Below are 26853 nucleotides of genomic sequence, written 5' to 3' on the forward strand. Positions count from 1 at the left end.
GGGAGGGTTTTGTCTTGTTAATGTTTATTTCCCCAGTGCTTAGCATAATTCTTGAAAAATATACTTTTAAAAACATACTTGTTGTATATCTATCTACAATTACCCTAGAGCTAGAGAAATGAAAAAATTATATAAAGTCCCTGATTTCTTAGAGCCTCTGGGCTTCAGTTTCCTCATATTTGAAAAGAAGGTAATTATTTCTAAGGTTTCCCAAATCTATGATCTTATATTTGAGCAGGATAATGACAATTTCTCATAATCAGCCCTGCCAGTTAATGTCTCATATCAGGAAAAACTTGAAAACCTGAATGATTATCTTTCACCTTTGAATCAAGAGATCTGATTGTCCAGGGACAACTTACAAATCCTCAATTTTATAAATGTCTATAAATGAGTCAGACAGCAGCAAAAATATTTTTAAAACTTCTGCATCACATATTCATTTATTACTCTATCATCAAACAAATGTTTATTGAATGAGTATTATGCCCAGGGCACTGTAAGCACTGGATGAAAAATCAGGCTTGGATATACCATAATTAAAATATGCATAATCATTTACAGTCAATAATGCTTACATGTGCATTTACTCAATGCGTAACAAACTGTGAGGTGATTAATATGATCTCCATTTTGCCCAAGTCTCACCAGGAGGTGAAGTGGCTTATCCAAGGTCACACAACCAATAAATGGAGACCTTAAGCCCACCAGGTCTTTTGGCTTCAAACCTTATCCCACTTCCACTCCACCATGTTACTTTCCTTTGCAGAATATCCACAGGAATCAGCCCTTTACTATATTTTCTCATTTGCTTTAGCTCTAAAACATCTTGAGATGTTTTTGAACATCATCATTGATGGTCAGACTGTTTTAAATGTTGAAAATATCTGTTTAATAAGGTAAATGCTGCTTGTACTCATTTAGCCTCTACTAAGTCTTCACAAATGATGTGATTTCATTCCCAAGGAAAAATGACACTTTCTTTGTTGGGCACACATACCAATCCAATACAAATGTAGACACTTGATAGTAGATCATACCTGTAAATAAAGTTATATATTTATAGATGTATTCAGTTGTAATAATAAGTCATACATAAAGATGCATTTAGTTATAGAAATCTAAACATATGTTTATATAAAATGCCAACATATTTCTAGATAATGGTATCTGGCGAGAGTACAAAAAGCTTTAAAACACTTGTTATGTATTCCTAGGAAACCAGGATCATGCTCAGAGCATTCAAAGAGTAAGGTGGGGGAAAATGGCATAAAACCCAAACATAAAAAACACCAACACAATAAAAATACTACTGAAATAGCTAGAATCAAGCAACATACAGTGAGAATTAGGTCTGTCAGCCACAATAAAGTGAATCCAAGTTTTCATTTATGTCAGAATAAAAAGAAACACATAAACCTGGTTGGGAGACTAGGTGCTGGATGTGCTGGAGAATAAATGCAGAAGAGGGCCAGCTTTATAAGGGAGGAGGCCAAGTTTTGGCCTAAAGGAATAAGGACTAAGGCTTTTGCAATTAGAATGTCATCAAATTCAAATGTTAAGCTTGCAAAGATGTCCCAATAGCAATCAAGTTGCTTGTTTGGTGACAAAGAAAGATCCAGTTTCAGCAGTAGTATAGTTTAAGGCTTTCTAGAGTGAAGCACTTAACCACAGAATGAATGTCCTGTGTGCATGAGCAGGGCCTATGAAGATAAGCAGGGCCTAAGATGATGAAGATCTAATCTTTCATTGGAAGACACTTGGGTGATGCTATAGGATAATGAAGATTTCATCTTCCGTTGGAGGATACCTCAGATGTCCAGATCTTTAGGTCTTTTCTTTTAGGTAAGTTTCCCTTGAGAGGAATCTTCCAATCTCCTACCTGGGGTACTGGGTAGAAACCTGGGTTCCAGAAATCTAGGAACCAATTAGAAAAAAAAAAATGATGGAATCCTACTGTTCAGCGTGCAAACTTTAATTCAAGCCCTTATTTCTATCATTGTGTCTCCCCAGGCTTTGGCTGTATCTAGCATATCTCAATCCAGAAACTTTCTGGTCCACATTCTGCACAGTACACTTAACTCAGGTGGCCTGCTGAGGTCCTCAAAGGGGTCCTGTAGCTGAACTGGAAAATGGAAAAGGCCGAAGCCATTCTTCTTTCTGAGGTTTTGCAATGAAAACTGTCCTGTATTTTGTTGACCTCCCACTGCCATTGCTTCACCACCATCTACACCCACACCTCCCCACCCCCAGACACTGGGCTTCATGTTTCTCTGGTATGCCTGCTCATTTACTCATGGTCCATCCAGTTTCCATCATCCATATTTTAGTTGAGATCCTCACTCCTCTTTTTTTTGTCCTTGTAGATTTATAATTCTCTACTCTTCTGCTTTATTTTGTTTCTAGAGAACATGGACTTCAATTCACCATCTTAATTCAGAAGTATAATGATTTAAGAAGGCTCAGCTGCAGATATGTAAAGAGAGATTTGCAAAAGCATAATCAAGTCAAGTCATGGCAAGGTCATAAGAAGCAGTCACAAAAGCAGCAGTAATTTGAGTGCGAATGGCAGTTTTCATCATGACTATGCCCGTTCACAGGGACTCTTTGAAACAGAAGTTTGGTTGGAAGCATTTCCCATTCTGCTTGTGGCAGGGCATGAAAGGGGCACAGAGGCTATGGATGCATTGTTCCCCAGGCCCAGGCTCCTTCCTGGCTGTGTGATGATGGGCAAGTTGCTGGCCTCTCCAGTTGTGTCTTTGGAAAATAGATGTAATTGCACCTACCTCATTGGGTTATGCAGAAGATGAATGAGATCATGCATGAGAGTCCCTAGCACAGTGCCTGGCACACAGTCCCTCCCATCAACAGTAGTTGAAGCTCATTCCCTCACAGCCGTTAGAATCAATTGTGGGCCTAGAGGGCTTTCATTTTGTCTCTGCTTACAGTTCTTTGCCCCGCTGGAAAAGGAGTTAGAAAGAAAGAAAAATAAAACAATAAATCACATAGGCTGTAACCTTCAGAGTCTGAAGAATGCTGCCCCAGGCAACTCCCGCACCACCCGGGAAAGTGTGCTAGACCTCCCTGTTCAACCCCATTGCCCACAGAAGGCTGTGCGAGAGTGAAGGGTGGGAACTGAGAAACGATGTTTTCTAAGCTTTCAAGCATGATCCTACCCCTTAGGATATGGGTCAAATGACCTCTTGGGACGGGAGAAAGGGAAGGGAAAGGCATTCCATATTCATGTGACTCTTGACCTACTTAAAGGTCACTCCCTGAGTTACATCAGCCGCTTCTTGGGAACACTTAGCACCTGACTATAGAGGGAGCGGCTGGCCTCTTCTTTCTGATTTAATTAGTTCCCCATGGGGTGGTTGGCTGAGAGCCCAAATTCCACACAATCTCATAACTGGAAGGAACATTCAAGATCACCCATTCAGTGCTTAACTCTCCTCTACAACATTCTCAACAAGTAGCTTTTTGCCTTATTTGAGCCCCCCGGTGAGAAGAAATTTTGGAAAAGTCTATGCTGTCTGTGGACAGCTCTAAAAGCCACAAAGTTCTTATTTAAATCAGTTCATTCTTTCACTGACTTTTAAATGAAAAGTTAGGAGCAGCAAAGAATATTAGAATCCATCTCAGCCATCAGGGACCTGACAGTAAGGGAAGGAAATGGACATTAAACACATTAAGAAGTCTAGAAGTATGAAGAATATGATAGTGTTACAGAAAGGAAAATGCAGAGTGTTAGGGGAACATTAGTCTAAAGTAATGGTTCTCAACTGGTGGGAAAGGGGGTGAGGAGGGAGACAAATTTAGCCACCAAAGGGCACTTAGCAGTATCTGGAGACATTTTTTATTGTCACAACTGAAGAGATGCTCGTGGCATCTAGTGGGTAAAGGACAGAGATGCTGCTAAACATCCTACAATACACAGGACAGCCCCCTCTACCAGAAAGAATTATCTGGCCCCAAAGGTCAGTAGTACCACTGTAGAAAAACCCTAGTTTACAAGTTTCAAGGACGGCCTGAAGTTTCAACTGTTGCCCAAAGGATGAGTCAAGATTATCCAGGTAGCAGGAAGGGAAGGAAAAAGAGTCTTAGCAAAGGGAACTACATGCATCTAGAACCGGAGGCCATTCAGCAGGCCTCCAAAGAAGAAAGGCAATTTTGGAATTGGATGTATGATTTGGCCCAGTTCTACCAACCAGGATCTTGTAGGGCAAGTTCAGTCCTCCTTCCTCCAGGGAATCCTTCAAGTGTCTGAGGACAGATGTGCCAGCCTTGATGAAATTCTTTTCCTGAAACTCTTCAGCATTGCTCTAACAAACAGGTTTGTGACTCTTCCAATCCCAGTCACACCTTGTTTACCTAAACCCCTCACTCAGGGCCATGCTGCTAGCCAAGACATTCCCCCAGATGTGAGATGATGGGCAGGGAGACAGGTGGGCCCATTACCACTTCCAGAGCTGCAGGCAAGATTCTGAGGCTGTTTCCCTAGGGGCAGTTTTCTAGGTCGAATGAATCAGCCCTGGAGACAGCCCTGTAGTCACATCAAGTTTGTCCCGCTTGTATAGAAAATGACCCCTGGCTATAATTAACCTGAAGTGTTTCTTAAAGCCCTGCCCTGAAAAACTTGAATAGAAAAGTTGTGCAGGAAGGGTGAGCCAGCCAGATGCAGATCCTCAAGCCTGTGTCCAGGGGCAGGAAGGAGGGACAAAGGAGAAAGGGGGAACTTTCTCCTAATACCATTCCTGACCTTCAGCCTTTCCAACCAAGGGTGCACACTTACATAGAGCCACCACCTTCAGGCTGCCTCTCTGCAAAAATGCTTTTCCAACCACTTTCCTGGCCAGGGTCAGCCTCTGCAGACTCAGGGCAGAACACAGCAGTCAGGTTGGGCTGCAGAGAGGGAAAGGGAGCAAAGTAGAGGAGTAGATGGATCAGGAATGAGTTTCTTCTCCTTATGTGGGGAAGGCTGGGCCAGCATCAACCCCAGGGTACAGGGAGAGTAATATGTAGCGATGGCTGGGAAAGGTTCTCAGGACCTAGCAGTCATAGGATGGCTGGGTGAGACAATCTTTGTTCATGCAGATAGGTCTAACATTTAATTACATCTCTGATCTACTACAAACAGCCAATTTACCAACGGCCAATGTGGACTTAGCCTCGAGACAAGCCATTATTCCCTCTTCTATTATGAGTTAAATGTGTTTATTTTTAAGTGTCAAAGGATAGAATGTATTGGTGGAGATATGTATTGTAGTTTGAACTGATACATTCAATAATTACTGTTTTTAATCAGAAGAGAGTCTTTTGAGGAGGTCACTCAGAAATAGTTCAGTAAGTCAATATAAATTTAACTCAACCCACAAGTACCAGTCACTTCCCCTGCATAAGACTCTGTATTAGCTACTGGGAGGGACAAAAAGATGAAAAAGAAATTAATCCCAAAAGCTGACATCTATTCTCATGTATGATGGTTAAGTAAAAATACATAGAGGTACGAAGTGCCTGAGAACGCAGAGGAAGGAGAGGAATTCTGAGAAAGAAAATCAAGAAAGATGCCATGAAAAAGGTAGCGTGTGAGCTGGGCCTTGGAGGATGAGTACGGATTTTGATGGAGGAAGGGAATTTTAAGCATGTATGAGGAAGGGAGGAAGCAAGGAAAGGAAGGAAAGTAGAAGAGAAAGATCCAGTGTGGATGAAGGAGGCAGGTTTTCTTGTTCCAGCCATTAGGTTGACAGGGCGTAAGCCAGGAGAATTTTGTCAAGGCAAGAGCCACATGGCTCCAGAGGCACTGGCATGTCTTCTTGGGGCAGAAACTGTGCTCTACCTCTCTATGGGTTCTGAGGTGCTCCTGGTACAGACATTTATTTCCCCACAAATATCCAGGCTGACTGGGTTCACATGTCAGGTGCCCTGGTTCCGCTTCAGCTTTCCTTGTGCAATTCCAGGTCAGATGAAAGCCTAGTTCTGCACTCTTTACCTTGACTGGCCATCCCATTTACCTAAATAATTTTAAAGAATGGATATGCTGAGGCACATCTGAGACTTACTAAAACCCCAGGCTGTGGCCCGGGTAACTGCACTTTTGAATGAACTTTCCAAGTGTTTCTGATACCTGTCAATGATTCAGAACAACTGCCCTGGTTGGAAGGCCATAGAAGACACCTGTTCAGTCTCTCCCCTCAGGGCCCAGTCATAGTTGGTATTTAGCAAATGGTGTCAAAAGAGCACCTTTGGGCCTAACTCAACATGAGGAACAAACAAGGAGGCAGGTCACCTGTATTCTAGTTCTGATCCTCACTTTTCTGTATGAGCTTGAATAAACATCTAAACTCTCTGTGCCTCAGTTTCCTCATCCAATAGATGAGGCTTCTAGCGGGTAAAGTGGGTAAAGGACAGAGATGCAGTTGTTTGTCACACCTAGTGTGAAAATGGAATGGGATAATATTTGAAATAAGTGTACTGAAATGCAGAAGCATTCTATGCATATTTTGTTACAAGACGTTATCATTGACTCACCTGATTCTAACCCCTTATGGGCAAGGAGTGCTAGTGCATCCCTTTAGAAGGAAACATCTGATCGAGTTCTGCACACAAGAGTCTGTGGTGGGACTCTAGCAAATGAAAATCCACTGAGCTAAGGCTATCCTCTGCCAGCGCACTAAAATATCTCCTTTGTCCTTGGGTAATAACTGCAGTTACTATTTAATTAAGAAAGACTTCCAAGGAAGAACAATCAATTTGCAAATTACGTTGGGTAAAAAGCAGCCAAAGAATTGCTCAGCCATCATGGTAGCCGATGCATACTAAGTGAGGGGAGAGTTCTATCATGCAAGGCCTGCCTGTCTCCTCTCTGGCTTTGTGGATTTACAGTCTCCAGAGTTCATCCAAATTGTCAGATCAAGAAATTTTGTTGCATCAGTGTATTTCTTAGGTCAGGGGCCAAATCCACTTGGTAGAACACTGTCGCTTTATCAGTGGGAGAAATGATCAATCTGAAAGAGAATATATAATTCATGACCAAATAGAGAAAAGCATTAAGTCAGGAAGCCGACACCAGCCCAATTTATGACATTGCTCTACTAAGTGTATTCCCCACTGTGTCATCCAACGGCCCATCTTGATCTAAAAATGCCTGTTTTGGACAGTGAGGTTCTCTTCAGCGCTGGCAGAGGAAGGCAAAAAGCAAATTGCTTCAATCAGCAGCCATTTCTGTTGATGGAAAACCTTGTGGCCCTATGCCAGCAACATGTAAAAGTAAATAAAAATTGAAGTGCAGGTCTGAAACAGCGACACAGTATGGCTACATTAAAATATTTATGCCTTCAGACTTTTAGACATCCATTATCTACAGTATGTTAATAAGAATGCTGAACTGACCTTGGCTGGGACACAAAACTTCCAGTGCCCTGCAAAACAACTCTGTCCTCCCACGCGCCTTCATTGCATATAGAGAAGTATGCAATGGAGAATGTGAACCCAGACATTCTGACTTGGGTTAACACTCTTGGCCTACATTGGTGGGGGAAACTCGTGACTGGAAGCAAAAGAACTGTATGTGAGTTCTGCTTCTGCCAATAATTAGCTGGTGACATTGGGAAATGGCTTCACCTTTCCTCATGTGCTCTATGAGAGGATTGCCAAAGATCAGCAAATTCCAAACCTGGCAAATTGCATTCAGATTTTAAATGAAATATTTGAGCATGCAGATTGCCAGGCCCCCTCCCCAACTTCATGGGAATCAGAAGTGGGTGGGTTTCCCCGCCTTTACCACTATGTTCCTGATGGTCCAAGAGCAAAGGGAATCCTGGAATCCACATCCTCTGCCCTGCTTCCCCACACTAATCATGTATGACTGAGTCCTACCCAGTGATATTTCTAGGACATACACCTACTCACGGTTCTTCACTAAGAAAAACTTAAAATATTTCTCCTCGCCTGTGGAATCAATGGCTCTGGATTTGGTTCAGACTCAGGATGACATCCAACGCCTTCTTCAAATTTGGCTGCAACCTACTCTCCTAGCTCCTTTCTTTCCAACAAACTCTATGCTTCTGTAACTTGGGATTACTTACCATTCCCTAAGCAAGTCACTGTATTTCACACTTTCATACATTTATGTATGCATTTCCTCGAATGCTCCTCCCATTCCCTCAAAATTCTTAGTCTTTCCTTCGAGACTTGGTTTTAACATCTGCTTCCATGATTGCCTCAAAGTAAACCAAATCTCTTCTCTATTGTATTGTTGTCATTTGTTTGTATGACTGTCTCTCACACCAGACTTTGTACTCTCTTCCTCCTCTTTCTGATGGTATGTACATAGGAGCATGTGGGTGGCATGGGTTTCTCAAATGTAGGCCGGGGGCTCACAAAGTCACAGGATATGCATGACATATTTAACTGCAGCAATAGTTTTCTCCTAAGATTGGTGAATATTTTAAATATTTAAACAAACACGAATATATTATAAAGCCAACTGCAAAATGCACACGAAATTTTAACTAAAACAAAAGCCCTTGAACAAATATCAAGGGAGGTTATGGCAAGACAATTCAAATTATATGGCGCCGTCACCACCACCAGCAGCATCCCAAGCAAAACCTCTGTTTCCCATTCTCCTTCAATCTCTTTGATGGGCAGGGCACTTCACAGAAACATGGAAACAGCATTGCTGAGCCAAGACTTATTCATCACTGATGTTTCCCATTCCTCATCATCAGCACTATGCCTGGCACATTGTAAATGCTCAATAAATTTGTACTTATTGATTAATTGGGTGAGACAAATAGATGAACAACTTATGAGCATCACTGTTCATTTGGGGGAAAAAAAGCATTCCTTTATGTCAAATTTCACCATAGTGTCAAGATCTCTTCATCCCTCAAATTCCAACCTCCATTTAATATAAAGAAAGTTACATGTACTGTCATCGCAGGGCAATTGGCACCAACATCTTGAAACTTTAATGGGCTGGGCTGGGCTAAGTCACTGTTTAGCCCTAGTTGAAAACCTGCACAGATTTGTGTGAAACAAAATCTAAAAGAAGGAAAACTGTAGGTTGAATAGTAATTGAAATGTATCCTAGTATGATAGAGGAGGGGAAGTTTTGGTGCCATAATATCTCCCCTCACTGGTCTTGAAATGTGTTTCTGTTGAAGCTTCAGTAAAAGTTTAATTGTCTAGTGTCATTTAAAAAAAAAAAAGTGAAAACTGCCTGCAGACCCTCCCCACCCTCAAAATTCCTGAAGGCACCTCTGTGGGCAGGTGAGACTATTCTGTCAGGAATAAGCCTAACCAACTGCCTGAGGGCAGAATGGTCAGTGAATGGAAAACAACTAACAGAAAGGTTCTACGTAACCTCGGGCTAACTACACTTGCTCGGTCATTGGTGAAAGTTAGTGAGGAGAAAGAGATAAAGGGGGATGGGGAAATGCTGCCTATGGCCAGCAATCTACATGCCAGAAGAGGGGGTGGAAACCCAGAGCTGAAGGGCCAAATATCCATGCCCCCTCAGCCACCCTCACTCATGCTCATATACATGCAGACCCCCAAATCAAACAGAAAACTGAACCCAGGAGTTAAAATGCTTCACACAGTTAACCTCCAAAACAAAATTGCTAAAAGTTGAAAACAAATTGGCCAAATCAGGCTTAGCACAGTATTCATAGGTAGATGGAGTAAAAAATGAACTGCAGCCTTCCTGCCATTCTCTCCCTGTTACCTGCCAACTCTGCCTCCCCCAATCCCAGCTTCTGCCTTCATTTCTGTCCTTCCTGGCCTCCTGAGGGTCCCTCACTACTTCCCTTCTATCTCTCTACCCTCATAAGCAAACCTCCAAGGCTTGCCTCTTCAGTGTCGCTCGGTATCTCCAACCTCCCTCCCTCCACGGCTGTCATTCTAGTCCAAGACTGCCATCTTCTCTCTCTGAGCTGCAGACAATAGCCTTTCTGGAGACCCTGAAAGAGATCAGGTTCCCCCTCTGATTCTTCCCCAATCCGTAACCAGAGTAAGTTTCAAGAGACAAACTTCAGGCCTTTGCTTAAAACCCCTTCATCCTGTCATTTTTGAATAGGCATAAAGTCTAAAACCCTTACTCTAATCTACAAAGGTTCTTGCCTTCGTCTCCAATCTCATCTGATCTTGTTTCTCCTGACTCTCGGTACTCTAGATACTGTCTTCTTTCAGATCACCAGAGTAGGGGGGCCTTGGCATGCAGTATTTCCTCTGCCTGGAAAGCTCTCCCTGCCCCCTTTTGCATGTTATATCCTCCATTCCTGCTTCAGATCTTCCCTGACCTGGTTCTCTCCTTCATAGCGCTCGTTGCTGGTGTATATGTCCATTGCTGGGATAATTTCCATTCATGTATTTCTTTCACAGTGAATTGTAAACTCCATGAAAGCAACAATTATGTGTTCCTGCTCACCATTTTGTCATCAATATTTTGAACAATCTGTGGCCCACAATAGACATTCAATAAACATTTGTTGAATGAACAAATGAAAGCGTGGATGATTAAATGAGTAACCTGGAAGCATCCATGGAGCCATGGCAATAGCAGCTGTTTCCATAGTCTCACCAGAGCTGAATCTGACCTCTCCTTATAAGGTAGTGCCAGGGGCCACGTGATGAACAAGGAGAGGTGGCCCCTGTCAGCATCTGCTGAGGCTGGAGCTGGATGACTCTGCAGACTGCATCATCTTGTTTGTCAGTGCACTCACATAATCACACAAGAGTGGCTCCTGATCCCAAACACTGTCCTGCTTTCCACCAATCCATACCTTGGCCAAATGTACCTCTCAAACTTGATTGTTTGTCCTGGATATACTAACTGCAGATCTTGAACCACTCCAGGTCCAGCCTTTGGGCAGCCAGTCCTGCTTCCTGGTGAGTGCAGATGCTAGAAGCAGTGAGACATTTTCTTTATGGAGCTCACAAACAAAATCCCCTTCCAGTGTAAGTTTAAACAAGATATAGATAGATAGATAGATAGATAGATAGATAGATAGATAGATAGATATAGATATATATATAGATAGATATATAGATAGATATATAGATAGATATATAGATAGATAGATAGATGATAGATAGATAGATAGATAGAGAGATAAAGATGCATATATAGATATGGATATAGATAACAAAGATGAGGCACCAAAGAAGAGGGGATTTACAAGCTTGTAAACTCCTGAGGACAGAAATGGATGAATTCTATACACTGCATGGCACCTAGGATCCTACCTACTTATCTTAGTATTGGTTAAACTAAACTGACACAAAAGACCTATGGAGATGCTAGAATGATATCCCATCAACCAAAGCAGCCAAATAACTGTTATTTGTCAAGCCCTGGGCACATGGTGTCACCTGTTCCCTAACTACTGTTCTCTCTGTCAGTCTTTCTCTCTCTCTGATGTGAATGAATGAGACAATATCTAAGCTTCATGAGTTCTTTATTGCAATTGTTAGTGCTAGAATATTATTGTCTTAGTCTGTTCATCCTGCTGTAACAAAATACCATAAACTGGATGGCTTATAAATGACAAAAATTTATTACTGACCATTCTGGAGGCTGCAAAGTCCAAGATTAAGTCACCAGCAGATTTGGTATCTGGTGAGGGCCCGCTTTCCAGTTCATAGATGGTGCCTTTTAGCTGTGTCCTCACATGGTATAATGGAGGAAGAGTTTCTTGGGCCTATTGCACAAGGGTAATAATCCCACTTGGGCCCTGGGCCTCTACCTCATGACCTAATCACCTCTCCAAGAACCCTACCTCCTAATATCATCACCTTAGGGCTTACAATGTCAATATATGAATTTTGAGGGGACACAAACATTAAGACTATAGCAATAATCACAACAGGATTTTGGAATTGGAGGGATTTTAGAAAGGCATCATTCAACTCAGTGTACATTTTTTTTTCCTCAAGGAATCCTCTTTCTCATCCTCCTCCAACAATGACACCCTTAGAGAGGTTGGTGTGAAGCACTGAGAATTTGCACTATCCTCTGAAATTACAAGAGCAAGAATCGTGAAACCTGTTGACCAAACCAAAGAAATTAAAAATGTACCTTCCAACTCCAGTAGCTATAAGGATAATGATTCCATGATAACAATTTTCACTTACATATCACTCCACAATCATATTCATGAGCTCATTTGAAATCCCAGCAGAATCATTATTATCTCTCACTTCACAAAGCAAGAAATTAAGACTTACAAAGATTAAATGTATGGCTCAAGATTAGTAGAATAGCCAGAATTCAAGATCAGAATTCAAGCCAGAACTTTAAGCCTACCTAATTAGTAGAATAGCCAGAATTCAAGCCCAGATCTTCTGATTTCAGAACTAGGACTCTTTCCACGATGCTCTGCTTCCCAGCAGGAGAGAATCATACTCATCTCATTAACATTATTAAATTAAGTACTCATACATACAGCTTTGAAATAAACACCCTAAAATTTTAGTACTAAGGAAATATCCGGGTATCTCAAAGGTAGTAGCCGCTCTCCTGCAAAGAAAAAAAAAAGTCATGTCCTATCAGTTGAAAAATGCTTGCCAGTTGGCACTAGCCAAAAAGAGGAGAAAACGTGTCGGTAATGCATCATAAGTATTGAAAGCTGTCAGCTTTCCTCAGGTGAGTGAAAAATTCTGGCCATACAAGGATGAATTTTCTCCAGATAGTGAGACATCATACTAAATGCCAACTTCATCTCACTTAAAATGCTGGGCCAGAAGTTCCTACAAGCTGTCAGTCAAATTAAGCCTGCATCTGCCTCTGTACTTGAACTGATGGACCACTTCAGGGTCCTAAGGAAGAAGCAGAGGGAGGGAAGCTTATGGCTCACATACACTCCATTTCAAAACAGATGTAAAAGGAATTTTAGACCAGGCCATAGAGAAGCTCACACATTAAAGAAAATAAATGTTTTTGTTTGGGTTTGAGGGACTTTTAAACTGCAGTAGTTAGGTTCAAAAGATGGCAGTCATGCAATTGTGGTCTTAAAGAGAATTGACTACCAGGTAGAATGAAGGAACAATGCCACCGAAATCTTTATGAGTAATTTGAAATGAAATGCTTTAAACCAACTCACTTCTCAACCAGGACTCTGCAGATGCCACATAGATGACATATTTCTTATCATAAAAATGATGGAAAGTATACAATGGAGGTATTCAAAACCAAAGATTACCAGAGATCACTTTCATTAGAAGTACAGCACAGACCCTGGACTCCATCCTGGATATTACACATTTTGTCTCTTCACAGCCACTTGGTCTAAACAGCCATTGTGAATTTTAAAAGTTATGACTATGGAATCAGCAAACCAGAACTGGGTGGGGTTCAGACACATGCAAGTGCAGACCTTGTGCAGAAAGACCATTCATACTTCCACCAAGGGACAGAGTATAGATAATAGAAAGAGAAAATACATGTCTCACATGCTTTACATTCTAACAAGAGTGCTGGCTTAGCACACCTGAGGTCAGGTGATGGAATCAGGACTTGAACTCAACTCTTCTTACTTGAGATTACGTTTCCAGTACAAGTTGCCTCTGTGACCCACAACAGCAAGTACCTGTACCACTTGCCTTAGCAAATTATAATTCACAAACCCTTCGTGTTGCACTATCTCATTTATGCTCTCAAAAAACACAGAATACAGAAGTGCATTTCCGCCCAGATGACTCCAACCTCTAAGTAGGATGACTACAAGTGAAACTATTTTCCAGATAGAGTAAATTGGTGGAGAAGTAGAATGGAACTTCTTTCTGAACTGTTGCTGGAATATTCATGTCTCTACCAAGTGCACACCACAGGATAGCATAGAAGGCATCATAAGAAATTGTAAAGCATGAAGATTTGCACTTTTTTAACTAAGCCCTCCTCATTTGGTACCACACCACAACAGAAGCCTCCAAGGTCTTCTCCTAAACTAACTAACTTGTTGACAGTCCAAGTTATTATGAGCTAGGAAGTAATAAAAGTGCACTCCTTTGAGAGACACTGTGTGACTTCTGACTGGCTTCTGGCCTGGTTAATGTAAATAATGAGTCTCCTGGCATGCAATAATATCTCACATTAGACAATGCTTGCAGTTCACAAAATGCTTTCATATACACGATCTCATCTGATCCCGCAACAATATTATGGTGGGATGTTACTGTTGGCGAATGTGTATACTTGAGGTTATTGAGGTTTGAGGACACTAGGTGATATGCCCATGTTTACACAAGGAAATTTTTCAAAGCAGTTATCAGACCCTGAGAAGTAAGCACTGAAGTTGTCCATGAGTTGAACACCCCTCACTTTCCAGCTGTCACTGATTAGATTGATCTTACATCTCTTGAACCACTCTCTTTCATTTCCTTTTTTCACTGTGCACACTGCTTTTCTTTAATTTTCTTTCAATTCCACTGGTCCTCAATCTAAGCTACTTGCACCTTGTATGCGCTTCATACATCCTTCCTCACCTCCTTAAGAAAATTTTCCAAACCGTAACTCCTTCTCCTGATCGGCCTCTCTGATTCAAAAGAAGCAAGATGTTTGCCTGAACATAAGCACCTGAAAGCATGGGAAACATGTGAAAACAGAAATAGTGAGTAAAAGGTGCAAACGTTATCAATCTTTCTCAAGCCCTTTGTGTGTTTTGAGAGTTGTACCTAAGGTGTTGCTAGCGATGGCATCAGCTAAAGTAATTGCCTCTAGGCTGATTATAATTTTCCTCCAGCATGTTCTTCCTCATACATGCTTTCTTGCCCTTGTCCCCAAGGCCCAAGGACTCTCTGAGCAAGGTGAGCCAGCCTGTAGGAGTGAGGGAGGAGCCCTCACTGCTGGGAGAACACCGCTTGCTGCCATCAGCTATGTAAACTTTTCAGAGGACACGCTGTGCCCTGAGAAATGAACCTCCATGGGAAGGGGAAAGAGTAGAGGTTGGAAGGCTCAGAAAATCTCTCCCAGCTTGGCCTGGCATGTTCATACAAGCCCTGGCAGCTTACTGAACACAGCAACAGTCTCAGTTACTTTTTAGAAAACCACATTTTCCCTCAATGCTCAGGAAGCATAGAAAGATTTGGTTGCATCCGACACCAGGCAAGGGAGCAGTCATCAGCTGCTAAGTGGGATTTAAAAGTCCGAAGACAATAGGCCACAGATATTTCCAATTTAGGAGTTTCTGGATGGCCTTAGTCCAGGCCTTTTATTACTTCCAATAGTCATTTGATAGGAAGTAAAATGACTATAAATTAGTGCCTACTAATTCTTGATAATATAAGAGAGGTCAGTTTGTCTTTTGAAAAAAGCACAGGCTTACAGAACATATGAATCTGTTCCCAGTGTCCCCGCTGACTTTCTGAATAACCTCGATGGGCAAGGCAACTGCTCCGAATTTTGGCTTGGAAGGACAAAGGTCACAGCATCCTCTGACAAAGAGAAAATGAAGCCATGCAAGTAAACTCACCTAGTCATGGGGCATGGAAGCTGTGGCCTAACTAAACAGGCAGAAAAGCAACAATATTCTGATACTTAAAACAACAAAGACAACAACAACGGAAATTTGTCTTTGTTCTTTTTCATGGGTCTACGAAACCTGAATGAGTGACGACTGTGTCTGGAGACCACAAAGAAGAAGCTGCATCCCCAGACTTCTTTGAGGACTGTGGGAGATCAGTCCCAAACATCTTCTTTCAACTTGTACTTTTCCTGCTTGTAACTCATACAGGACAGTCCATGAAGACCTTTCACCAATCTCCTGCAAATGCTTGGTTCTGGCATTCAATTAGGCAGCAGGCTCATCAAGAAGCAGAATAGGCTCTGTAGGGCTACAGACTGCAACATGCCCACCTTCCTTCCTTACTGCCTGGCATCCCAGCCCATATACCTGAGTCGAGAGCACCACCATATCTTTGACCTTGTGCACTGGACTGAGGTTATGGCTCCAGTGCAGGAATGTGATTCTAGCAAAGGCTGACCACCCCCAGTTCCACCTTTTCTAGCCTTATCTACTCCATTTCCTTTCATGTTTCTCTGGAGTTGAACTCACTGCTTTCTATTTCTGTGTCTTTACTCTCTACCCCAAATGGTCTTCTCATCTTCCTGATCTTTATAACCCTGTTCTCCTGCAACTGGCTCCATGAAACTTTCCCCAATTCACTACCTGCTCAGACTGTCAAAAGTAATATGGGAATTTTAAGAAGAGTATAAGAGTACCATCCCTACCCTTAGAATACGTACAGTCTATTTGTGGAGACAATAAACTAATAAAAAGGACAAAATCATTTGGGATTCACTGCCAGGAAGAGCTGTAGAGGTCATGACAATTACTGTGTGTGGAGTGCTTACCATGTGCCAGGTGCCGCGCAAGAGCTTCATCCATGTTATTTTAGTTAATTCTCACCACAGCTCTAGGAGATGATAATAGCACTTCGTAGCTGAGGAAGCTAAAATTCAGACATGTTAATACGTTATCTACGCATAGCTAGTAGATCACAGAGCATGAGCTCTTAGAAACCACAGCACATTGCTATCTCATTTTCTCATGTTCATAGAACGCCCATTTAAAAATACATTGAGGATTAATAACCAAATTTTAAAATGGACAAAGGATCTGAATAAACACTTCTCCAAAGACAATATATATAAATCGCCAATAAGTAGATAAAAAGATGCTTAATATCATTAGTCATTAGGGAAATGCAAATCAAAACCACAATGAGATATTACTTTATACCCACTAGGATGGCTGTAGTCAAGAAAAACATACCCGGCTGGGTGTAGTAGCTCATGCCTATAATCCCAACACTTTGGGAGGTTGAGGCAGGAGGATTACTTGAAGCCAGGGTTTCAAGACAAGCCTGGGCAACAAAGGGAGACCTCATGTCTACATAAAAGTTAAAAATTAGCCAGGTGCTGTGGCATGCACCTGTAGTTCCAGCTACTCAGGAGGCTGAGAAAGGAAGATTGCTTGAGCCCAGGAATTTGAGGCTGCAGTGAGCTACAATTGCACCACTGCACTCCAGCCTAGCCTGGGCAACATAGTAAGGCCCTGTCTCTAGGGGGAAAAAAAAAGCACACCATAAGAAGTGTTGATTAGGATGTGGAAAAACTGAAACCCTCATACATTTCTGCTGGGAAAATAAAATGATGCAGCTGCTGTAGAAAACAGCTTGTCAATCCCTCAAAATGTTAAACAAGGTTTCCATATGACCAAGCAGTTCCACACCAACGTATGTACATGATATGGTTTGGCTTTCTGTTCCCACACTAATCTCGTCTCAAATTGTAATCCCCATATGTCAAGGGAGGGACCTGGTGGGAGGTGATTAGATCATGGAGGCCGTTTCCCCCATGCTCTTCTCGTGATGGTGAGGGAGTTCTCATGAGATCTGGTTGTTTGATAAGTGGCGATTTCCCCTGCACTCTTTCTCTCACTCACGCTGCCTTGTGAAGAAGGTGCTTGCTTCCTCTTTGCCTTCTGCCATGATTGTAAGTTTCCTGAGGCCTCCCCAGCCATGCGGAACTGTGAGTCAATTAAACCTCTTTTGTTTATAAATTGCCCAGTCTCGGGTAGTATCTTTATAGCAGTTTGAAAACGGACTAATACAGTACCCAGGAGAAATGAAAACATACATCTACAAAAAAAATGTACATGAATGTTCATAGCAGTATTATTCATAATAGCCCAAAGTGGAAACAACTTAAACATTCATCAACAAGTAAATGGATAAATAAAATGTGGGATATCCATACAATTGGATATTATTCAGTCATAAAGAGAAGTAGACACATGCTACTATGTGGATGAATCTTGAAAATATTATGTAAGTGAAAGAAGTCAGACACAAAAGTTCATATATTATATGATTCTATTATATGAAATATCCAAAATAGGCAAATCTATAAAGACAGAAAGTAGATGAGTTTTTTGGACTAAAAGGGCTGCAGGGGCAGGGAAATAGGGAATGACAGCTAATGGGTACAGGGTTTCTTCTGGGGTGATAAAAATGTTCCAAAATTAGATTATAGAGATAGTTGCACAATTCTGTTAATATAACAACCACCATTGAATTGCATACTTTACTTTAAGTAGGTGAATTGTATGGTATATAAATTATATCTCAATAAAATTGTTGGCATATATTGAGTTTTAGGGATAAATAATGTTTTACAACAAATCCTTTTAAAGCTGCCTCTAGAACTCTCAATTCTCAGTTTGGGACCTGTGTATGATATCATCAGAAGACTCAAGAGTTCTATAATAATTTATTTTAAGTTGGTGTCTTCATTTGATCAAATATTAAACCCAATTTAAAGCCCACAGTATATCTGGCAGATGACTATAAGTAAGTACTGCCCCATAATTTGAGAACCTGGATCTGTGGAATAATGACATTTCCTAGGGCTGCAGAAACAGAGCTTTCACAGCAAGGCAGCAGAGTGGAGTGAGCATGTATCATCCATCACAAGGCACGTGATTGTTCCAGCATACCAAAGTGCCTGCTCAGAGTAAATGCTGTGTATTCACACTGGCCAGGTGCAAACCCAGGCCTCATCTCTGCAGCGCTTCAGGAGCCTTTAATGGAGCAAACCATAAAATGTAGGTGATAAAATTTTTTGGCAAAAGACATATTCTTATTAAATTTTACTTTGAGATGTCTTATTAAATTGATTGGTTCATCAAACTCATGAATAAAATTTAGTCACTGTTAAAAATAACCGTGATAGTGATTCAAATGATATCCTCATAAGCAAAAGAATGAGGTCGATAAAGAAAATACTAAGCACATGCAGTCATGCATCACTTAATGACAGGAATATGTTCTGAGAAAAGCATCCTTAGGCAATTCGGTCATTGTACAAACATCGTAGAGTGTACTTACACAAACCTAGATGGTATAGCCTACTATACACCTAGGATATATGGTAAAGTCTATTGCTCCTAGGCTACAAACCTGAACTGCATGTTACTGTATTGAATACTGTAGGCAATTTTAACACAATGGTATTTGTGTATCTAAACATAGCTAAACATGGAAATGGTACAGTAACAATATGGTATAAAATATAAAAGTGGTATGCCTGAATAGGCACTTATGATGAACACAGTTTGCAGAACTAGCAGTTGCTCTAGGGGTGAGTGAATGTGAAGGCCTAGGACATTACCGTGCACCACTGTAGACTCTACAAATACTGTACACATAGGCTACACTAAAATTGTTTTTTAAAAACCTTTTCTTTCTTCAATAATAAGTTAACCTTAATTTACTGTAACTTTTTTTTCCTGCAAATGAGTTACTATCTCCTTATTCTTCATCTATTCTTTTTTTAATTATTATACCTTAAGTTCTCTGATACATGTGCAGAACGTGCAGGTTTGTTACATAGGTATACATGTGCCATGGTGGTTTGCTGCACCCATCAATCCATCATCTACATTAGGTATTTCTCCTAATGCTATCCTTCCCCTAGCCTCCCACCCCCTGACAGGCCCTGGTGTGTGATGTTCCCCTCCCTGTGCCCATATGTTCTCATTGTTCAACTCCCATTTAGGAGTGAGAAAGTGCAGTGTTTGGTTTTCTGTTCCTGTGCTAGTTTGCTGAGAATGGTGGTTTCCAGCTTCACCCATGTCTCTGCAAAAGACATGAACTCATTCTTTTTTATGGCTGCATAGTATTCCATGGTGCATATGTGCCACATTTTCTTTATCCAGTCTAACACTGATGGGCATCTGGGTTGGTTCCAAGTCTTTGCTATTATGAATTTGTCAACTTTTAATTTTTTTACAACTTTTTGACTCTTACAATAACACTTACATGAAAAGAATTCTCATTTACAATTTTCACCTTGATGTTTATTTATCCTTTATATGAAAATACATTCAGATTTTGTCTATTTGGAATGCAATTAGATTATTAATCCTTTAGATGATCACTATAAATAGGACCCAAATTATGTGAAAATCACATAATTGATGATTTTTGCTAAAGTTAAGAGAATAAATTTTATGGAATAAATATATGGTAATTTATGTATTATGTATGTCTTCATTTTATTCTCATGCAAATGTCACCAATTCACCAAAATAATCCTCAGACATGGACATTAATAATTAAATTCAGTCATCTTTGGTATTTCGCAGACTTTCAGACCTTAAAAAGAAGTTTTAAAACCCACAAAGCTTTACATATATTTGGTATTGCCACAGTGAGGATATGTTTGGCCTGGTAGGAAGATAGAACCTATTTTATAAAGTAATTTGTTAGCTTGATTTATAATTTTTAAATATGCAGGCATATGTTATATGAGCCTCCATTTGTACTCTAGTCCCAGGCCTCATAAATGTTAGGATGGACATGGATTTTTGTAGTCCCCCAGAGGTTTCTCTTTGGTAATAGCTTCTGTATTTATGAGTGCCTCCTTTGCGTAAGGCACTGTGCTCTTGATGTGGATGAACGGATGCCTAAAACCCAGTTCCTGCCTTTTTGAGGCCTAGAGCCTGTCAGGTGACATAGAAGTAACTACACAGCAAAGTTAACAGAAGTAACTATACAGCAAGAAGAGTGTATGCAAGGTAGACACCTACAAAAAGGAGTGGTGAATTCTATCCAGGAACATCAGAAAAGGTGTTTCAAAGAAGACGAAATGTGAACTAGGTTTTGAGGGATAGAGAGGAGTTCACAAGGAGAGACAATGTGGGTGAGGGAAGAGAGAGAGAGCAGCAAGACTCCTCGGGGAGCTGAAGCCGCAGACACACGGGGAGTCGAGAGGGCGATAGCAGGAGCCACAACTGGAGGCAGGCCTGGTCGGCCATGCTCAGGCACTTGAAATGCATTTCTCATAGATAATTGAAGCTCTGAGGGCTTTTTAGCAAGAGAATACAATTAATATGCTTGAATTTAGAAAATAATATGTGGAGGTTCTCTGAACAAATGATTACGGAGAAGGGAGTTTGGAAACAGGAAGATTCATTAGAAGGTTTAGATAATAATCTAGGAAAGAGAGGACAGGATGCCAAGACATAAAATGGCACCAAGGATGGACTCCAAATGACTAAAGTTGAGAGACACTTTAGCTTTCCAAGTTTCATTTGTTGTCAAATATAATGTCTTAACCCTTCTCCCGTTTGCCCCAAGAATACTCGCTGGCGCTTGCGGCTGCAGCGTTTACCCTGAGATAATTTTGCCATGAAATATCTCACTTTTAATGTTATTTTCACATCGTTCATTGACTTTGGAAACAAATGACATCATTCCATTTATAGCATTCTGGTTTTAGTAGTGGTACTTCCATTTACAAAATATAGTAATTCTCGAGTGCCAAAAATGTCAAATCCTAGAAAACGTACCATTCCTAAGCATGTTAATATCGTTCTCGAACAGTTATTGGCCAAAGATTCATTTGATGAGTCTGATTTTTTCCAAAATAGATGATTCTGATGATTCAGACAATTCTGGTGCTAGTTTTGTTTAGAAATAACTCCAAGAACAGTTTTTATATGTTATTTTCGCATTGAAAATCAGATTTGCTTCAGCCTCAAAGAGCAAGTTTGTGTAAAATTACATGAGCACTGGCAGCAAGCTGCACTCTTTTCTTCTAAATGGGAAAGGGTTAAATATATATACAGTTGTGTATGTGTGTGTGCACACCCATACGGCTGTCTGGCTGAGCTGTTCACTCAATTCAGAAATCTTCCCTACAACATCTCAGATGGTCTGTCATCCAGGTTCAACTTGAAGGCCTGTAGTATAAGGTCCAATTATTTCCAGGGTTCTACCATTAGACGATTTTGGTTTCTAGAAAATGGTCCTTTGTGTTGTTAAGTAGAAATGTACCTCTACCAAACTTTCACTTCTTGGTCTAGTTTTATTTTTTGGAGTAATAGACGGCTAGCCACTAGAAATTAGAACTGACAGCTCTTCCCATAATTCAGGTAGCTATTGTGTTTCTTCTTCTCAGTTGTTTATTTCCAAGTTAAACACTTCCAGTTCACCCTCTTCCCACCACTACCAGTAGCCTGATCAGACAACTCCAGATACATTCTGTTTTATTTAGTGTCTCCCTTAACATGCAACACCTAGCAATATGTCACAATTCGATTCATGCTTTTCCCTTTTCACACTTTTTCTTGTAATTAATGGAGATGACTGAGGTTTGAATGCAATTTTCTATCTTCAGGACCCATTTTTATGAGATTTACCACAAAGGTTTCATTTCTATATTCAGAATATTTATATATACAAGATTTTTAACTTACTCCACCAGGAGGGGCTAGAGAAGGTGTGTCCTTTGTCAGTAATCCTGGGCTCCAGTGTACAGGTTCTGCTTGGGTCATACCCTAGCTCCCAGCTTATGACATTGGATAAGTCTCTTCACCACTTTGAGTCTCAGTATCCTCATCTAAAAAACAGGGGACAATAGTTGCTGCTTGCTATTTTGTAAATCTTACATAAGATTATATATGGAAAATGTTTAGCCTTTTGCCTGGAACATACTTGGGATTGCCAGATAAAATATAGGACACCCAGTTAAATTTGAACTTCAAATGAACAATAAACAATTTGTTAAGTATGCCGCAAATATGACATTATTGCCATTTTTACTTCTTCCCCTCATTTTTTGTCCTTTTCTCTGCTTCCTTTCCTTCTCCTCCTCCTCCTTTTCTTTCCTTCATCCTTTCTGCTTCCTTGTAACCTAGTTCTAATCTTAAAACACATCAGAAGTAACATGATTACATTCTAAGTCTTATTAGTTTGGAACAACTATATCCTTTATTAGTGGGCTAATAAAGAGCTAGGCTGACAGCTGACCAAGATGTGTGCATAACTCTAAAAAAGTAAGCACTTTACTTCTCTGAGCTTAAATTTTTTAATTGTAAGATAGAAATACTTAGAAACCTATCTCAGAGGATTATTGTGAGAATCAAAGTTCTCAGGTGAGTGTCTGGGCCATAGCAGGGAATCAAGAAATGGTAAATTTCATTAGCATTACTGCTCCAGCCTAAAACATGCATTTAGTATTATAATACAAAGAAAACTTCCTTCATTCTGATTTCTAGTTCAAAAACCATTTTAAGATAAGGAATTTCACAAAGTTATTTAACAACCTAAGTGGCATAAAGGACTGTTTCCAAGACTTCCTGACATGGAGGACTTTCCTTTCTCTTCCCACTTCCACTCTTGCATGTCCTCAAGCAGCCGGTGAGACTGTTCCCATTTGCGATCTTATGTGGTAACGGATCAAGCTTACACACCTGAATATATCAGAAATGGAAACTGTTGTTTATAGTCTCAATCACAGAACACTTTACAAATCAAAGTATCATAGAATATCTTTTCTTTTTGCCTGCCTTCTCGCATCCTTTTTTATTTTGCTTCTTCATTAAACCTCTAAACAAAGGCTATGAAGAGGAATACTCGGAAGTACCAAAGCCATGCCTTCTCCACACACACTGAACATTCCTCCATTCCAACCAGGAACAATGAAGTCCAAACCACCCCAAGCTCATAGAGATTTGGCATATTCCTAGATATCCCCAAGGAAGATGATATGATCATTCCACAACCCTTGGTTCCAGACTTTAAATACACCATAGTATCATGGTCTTTCTGATACATGATCAATATCTACAACCCGATGAAACATACACACACACTTTTTCTCTTGTCTTCTTGCAAAAAGAAGAACAGGACCACGCAGGTTATGAAACTAATGAGAGTTTCTCCCATTCCCAGGATCCCCATTTTTAATCTGAGCATCCCATGAACAGACGGGATCCTCTACATACCAGTATGTGACACCCAACAGGAGCACCTCACATTCCTACAATGAATTCTCCTTCCATTACTCAAGAGATCTGCAGCACTCTTCTTTAAGGGGAAGAAAATATTAAAATGCTTCATTTCTTTCACAGGATATACAAATTAGTATAGTTATTCTCTCAGAATAAAAACATGTTTAGATGGATTCAGGACACTCCATTTAAAATATCCGTTACCCTCAAATCAAATTTTCACTGCCGTTGAGCAGCAAGGGGCGATGCCCTGGAATCAGTGAGCTGCTAAGATTTCTTCTGCTGAAGTGTTTAATTTCATTTTACTTTCCACAAATAAGCATGCTTGGAGCCACTGCCTGCCTTCCTCTGGAGTAATTGAAAAATTTAATTCACATTAAGCCAGAGAGGATGGTGTTTTTCCCGAAGGTCACCCAAGGCAAATATTTTAAACCTCTAACAGCCCATCATTCAGAGATGCCTGTCTCGTCTTTTCCTGATGAGGTGCTTCCGGGAGCCAAACACAGCCCAGCTTCCACCGCCTTGCCTCAGCCCCTGGGTGGAAGGTCACCCGAGAGGCTGGCAGACACATCTCAGATTTGGTCCCCAATGTGATTCTTACGATGTCTAAGGTATATGTCTCAGGCACCCCTCCAATCAGAGATCTATGAGTTTTTAGGCTTCATTTCTGCTTAAAAGATTAACGTGAGTGGAGACCAAAACCTCTCTGCTACCTCAATTCGAACTGCAAGCAGCTTACTAGAGAATGAGTATTTCACCAGGGCTGGGTTATGCTTCAAATCTTATCATCCCTTCCTAAAAACTAATAATGTTTTGCACTTATGTGATGCCTTTCATCAGCCTCAGCTAATATATGCCACATTGCTCGAACTCAGAGATGAGTAAATCATTAATTGTTCATAACGCCCTGCATAAGCGCTCTCAGATCGTCATGCGTAAGGATTCAATCAAGCACAATGACATCTATGCATATTTCTTTTTTATTCAGGTATAAAACATGTGCAATGACTTATAAACAAATTTCTCATGAACACAACCAAAAGCATATCATCACCAAGATGAACTCAAACCACAGAAGTAGAAGATACTCTGCCCATGTATCATGGTACTTTTCATGAGAAAGACCAAGGAGCTTCCAAGGAAAAAGAATAAGAAGGGACATAAATATTTATTTAGAAAAATATCTAAGACACTAGATTTTTCCCTTTCAGTGTAGCATAACATTCCTCAGTCACTTCTTGCAAAGATAATACTTTTTAAAAGGAAAGAAAAGCTAACATAGTAAAATGCAGTGAGATCTGATAAGAAGAGTTCCATCTGATTCAGTTCCTGGATTTTTCCTTTATTTGCATTATAGAGTTAGAATTCATACTTTAACTATGGTGCCTTATCATCCATAGAGACACAGTCACTCTGAATCTTTGTTGATTTCAAAGTATCAAGAAGCATTCATGAAGCCGGGAAGAGATGATGGTCACGAACCAGATGACCTCCTATTATTCGCCAGAAAAAGTGAAAGAGCAGAGAGAATTTTCAATAAGGCAAACCAGCAGGCTTTGTGTCAGCTCCTATGAGGAAGCAGGTAGCCACGGCCTGAGTCACAGACTGTCTAGGGTGAGCAGGCCTGGAAAAAGTGTGGAGGGACATTTGGAGAAGACAGGGATGTGTCTGTTTCTGTGGTCTCCTGTCTCGGTCCTAGGTAGAGAAAAGCTACGAGCAGAAAGAAGATGTTTTACATTCAAACACAGTCTTTTTCAATTTGAGTTTGATAAATGGGCTTTGCTAATTATCCTCCATTTGAATCCAGATTCATTTTCTGCTCTTCTCAGCTTGTGTAAGGTGCATTGCTTCATGCCACATCAGCCCTGGGGTGTCTGTAGCATCCTAACAATAGTGACAACACAGTACACCCCCCACATACTCTCCCATGAATCACAGAACCTCAAATCCCACCAAATGCCCTCCTGCAGGTTTCCCATAGATTTGCACAAGGCCACAGTAGCCATGCTTTCCCGCTCCTGGTGCCCAAAATCTCCCTGGCTGCTTCCACTGTGGGCTCCTGGGAGGATCAGCTGCCACCCTGCTCTTCTTGGCCTCCTGCCCATTGGCACCCCTTTCCGTTCTGCTCTGGCTGTCACTGGGGAAGGAGCAATGGGTGAGCTTTCTTCCCTCATCCACTGGGGATCCCATCACTAGACTGTAAATAACTCTGCACTGCATCCTCAGATTTTCAGGATTTTAGGAGACTCTGGGAATGCAGCAGTTCTCTTTGGTCTCCTCTTTACCACAGCCATCAATATGACACCATGATCTCATCGCCAACCTCTTCAGGGCTGTCCTCTAACCTAGGACTGGGCTGTACATACTCTAGAATTAGGGGCCCCTTTGTCTGCCAATAACAAAAACCCACTGAATCGATTTAAACAAAAATTGAAGTTTACCATATTACATGTAATTTTTTTTTTTGAGACAGAATTTCGCTTTTGTTGCCCAGACTGGAGTGCAATGGCATGATCTCAGCCAACCACAACCTCCACCTCCCGAGTTCAACCGATTCTCCTGCCTCAGTCTCCCTAGTAGCTGGGATTACAGGCATGTGCCACCACGCCCAGCTAAGTTTGTATTTTTAGTAGAGAAGGGGTTTCTCCGTATCGGTCAGGCTGGTCTCGAACTCCCGACCTCAGATGATCCACCCGCCTTGACCTCCCAAAGTGCTGGGATTACAGGCGTGAGTCACCACGCCTGGCTTACATGTAATTTTTAATATATGGTATCACAGCACCCCAGGGCAGGGATGCAGTGGGGCCTCTGGGATAGACCAGAACTTGTTCCTCTGAGTCTTTCATCTCTATGCTTTCAGCACTGCTGTCTCCTGCTGCAGGTCAGCTTTCTCAGCTTCTCAGGCCACCCAGAGCTCCTGCTGAATTTCAATTCCAAATTTTCTGGAAAGAAAACCAGACTGGCCCAGCTTGGCTTGGGGGCTAGCCCTGGAATAATCAGCTGCGGTCAGTGGATCAAGGCCACATCATATAATACAGTTGCCATGGGAGTC

General features: G+C 41.1%; 3 long non-coding RNA genes across 4 annotated transcripts in view, besides 1 other annotated feature; 2 read left to right on the forward strand and 1 right to left on the reverse strand.

The window, feature by feature from the left end:
• Positions 1 to 26853, forward strand: part of LOC124900354 (uncharacterized) — a 165186-nt gene that overhangs the window by 118683 nt on the left and 19650 nt on the right. The window lies entirely within an intron of this gene.
• Positions 413 to 3195, reverse strand: LOC107984792 (uncharacterized). Its single transcript, XR_001751522.2, has 2 exons — positions 2787 to 3195; positions 413 to 1040 (listed from the first exon to the last, which is right to left on the reverse strand). It is a non-coding gene; the product is annotated as an uncharacterized LOC107984792 (long non-coding RNA).
• LOC105370805 (uncharacterized) lies at positions 1526 to 3006 on the forward strand. The gene is made up of 3 exons (XR_001751519.2): positions 1526 to 1845; positions 2014 to 2276; positions 2407 to 3006. It is a non-coding gene; the product is annotated as an uncharacterized LOC105370805 (long non-coding RNA).
• Positions 9141 to 9655: an enhancer, noted in NCBI's record as "NANOG hESC enhancer chr15:48304383-48304897 (GRCh37/hg19 assembly coordinates)". NCBI's record gives its function as "activates a minimal SCP1, AML or CMV promoter by ChIP-STARR-seq in naive H9 embryonic stem cells {active_cell/tissue: H9 hESC(naive)}" and the evidence as "EXISTENCE:reporter gene assay evidence [ECO:0000049][PMID:30033119]".

Source organism: Homo sapiens, chromosome 15 (genome assembly GCF_000001405.40).
Source record: "Homo sapiens chromosome 15, GRCh38.p14 Primary Assembly".
Lineage (NCBI taxonomy): Eukaryota > Metazoa > Chordata > Mammalia > Primates > Hominidae > Homo > Homo sapiens.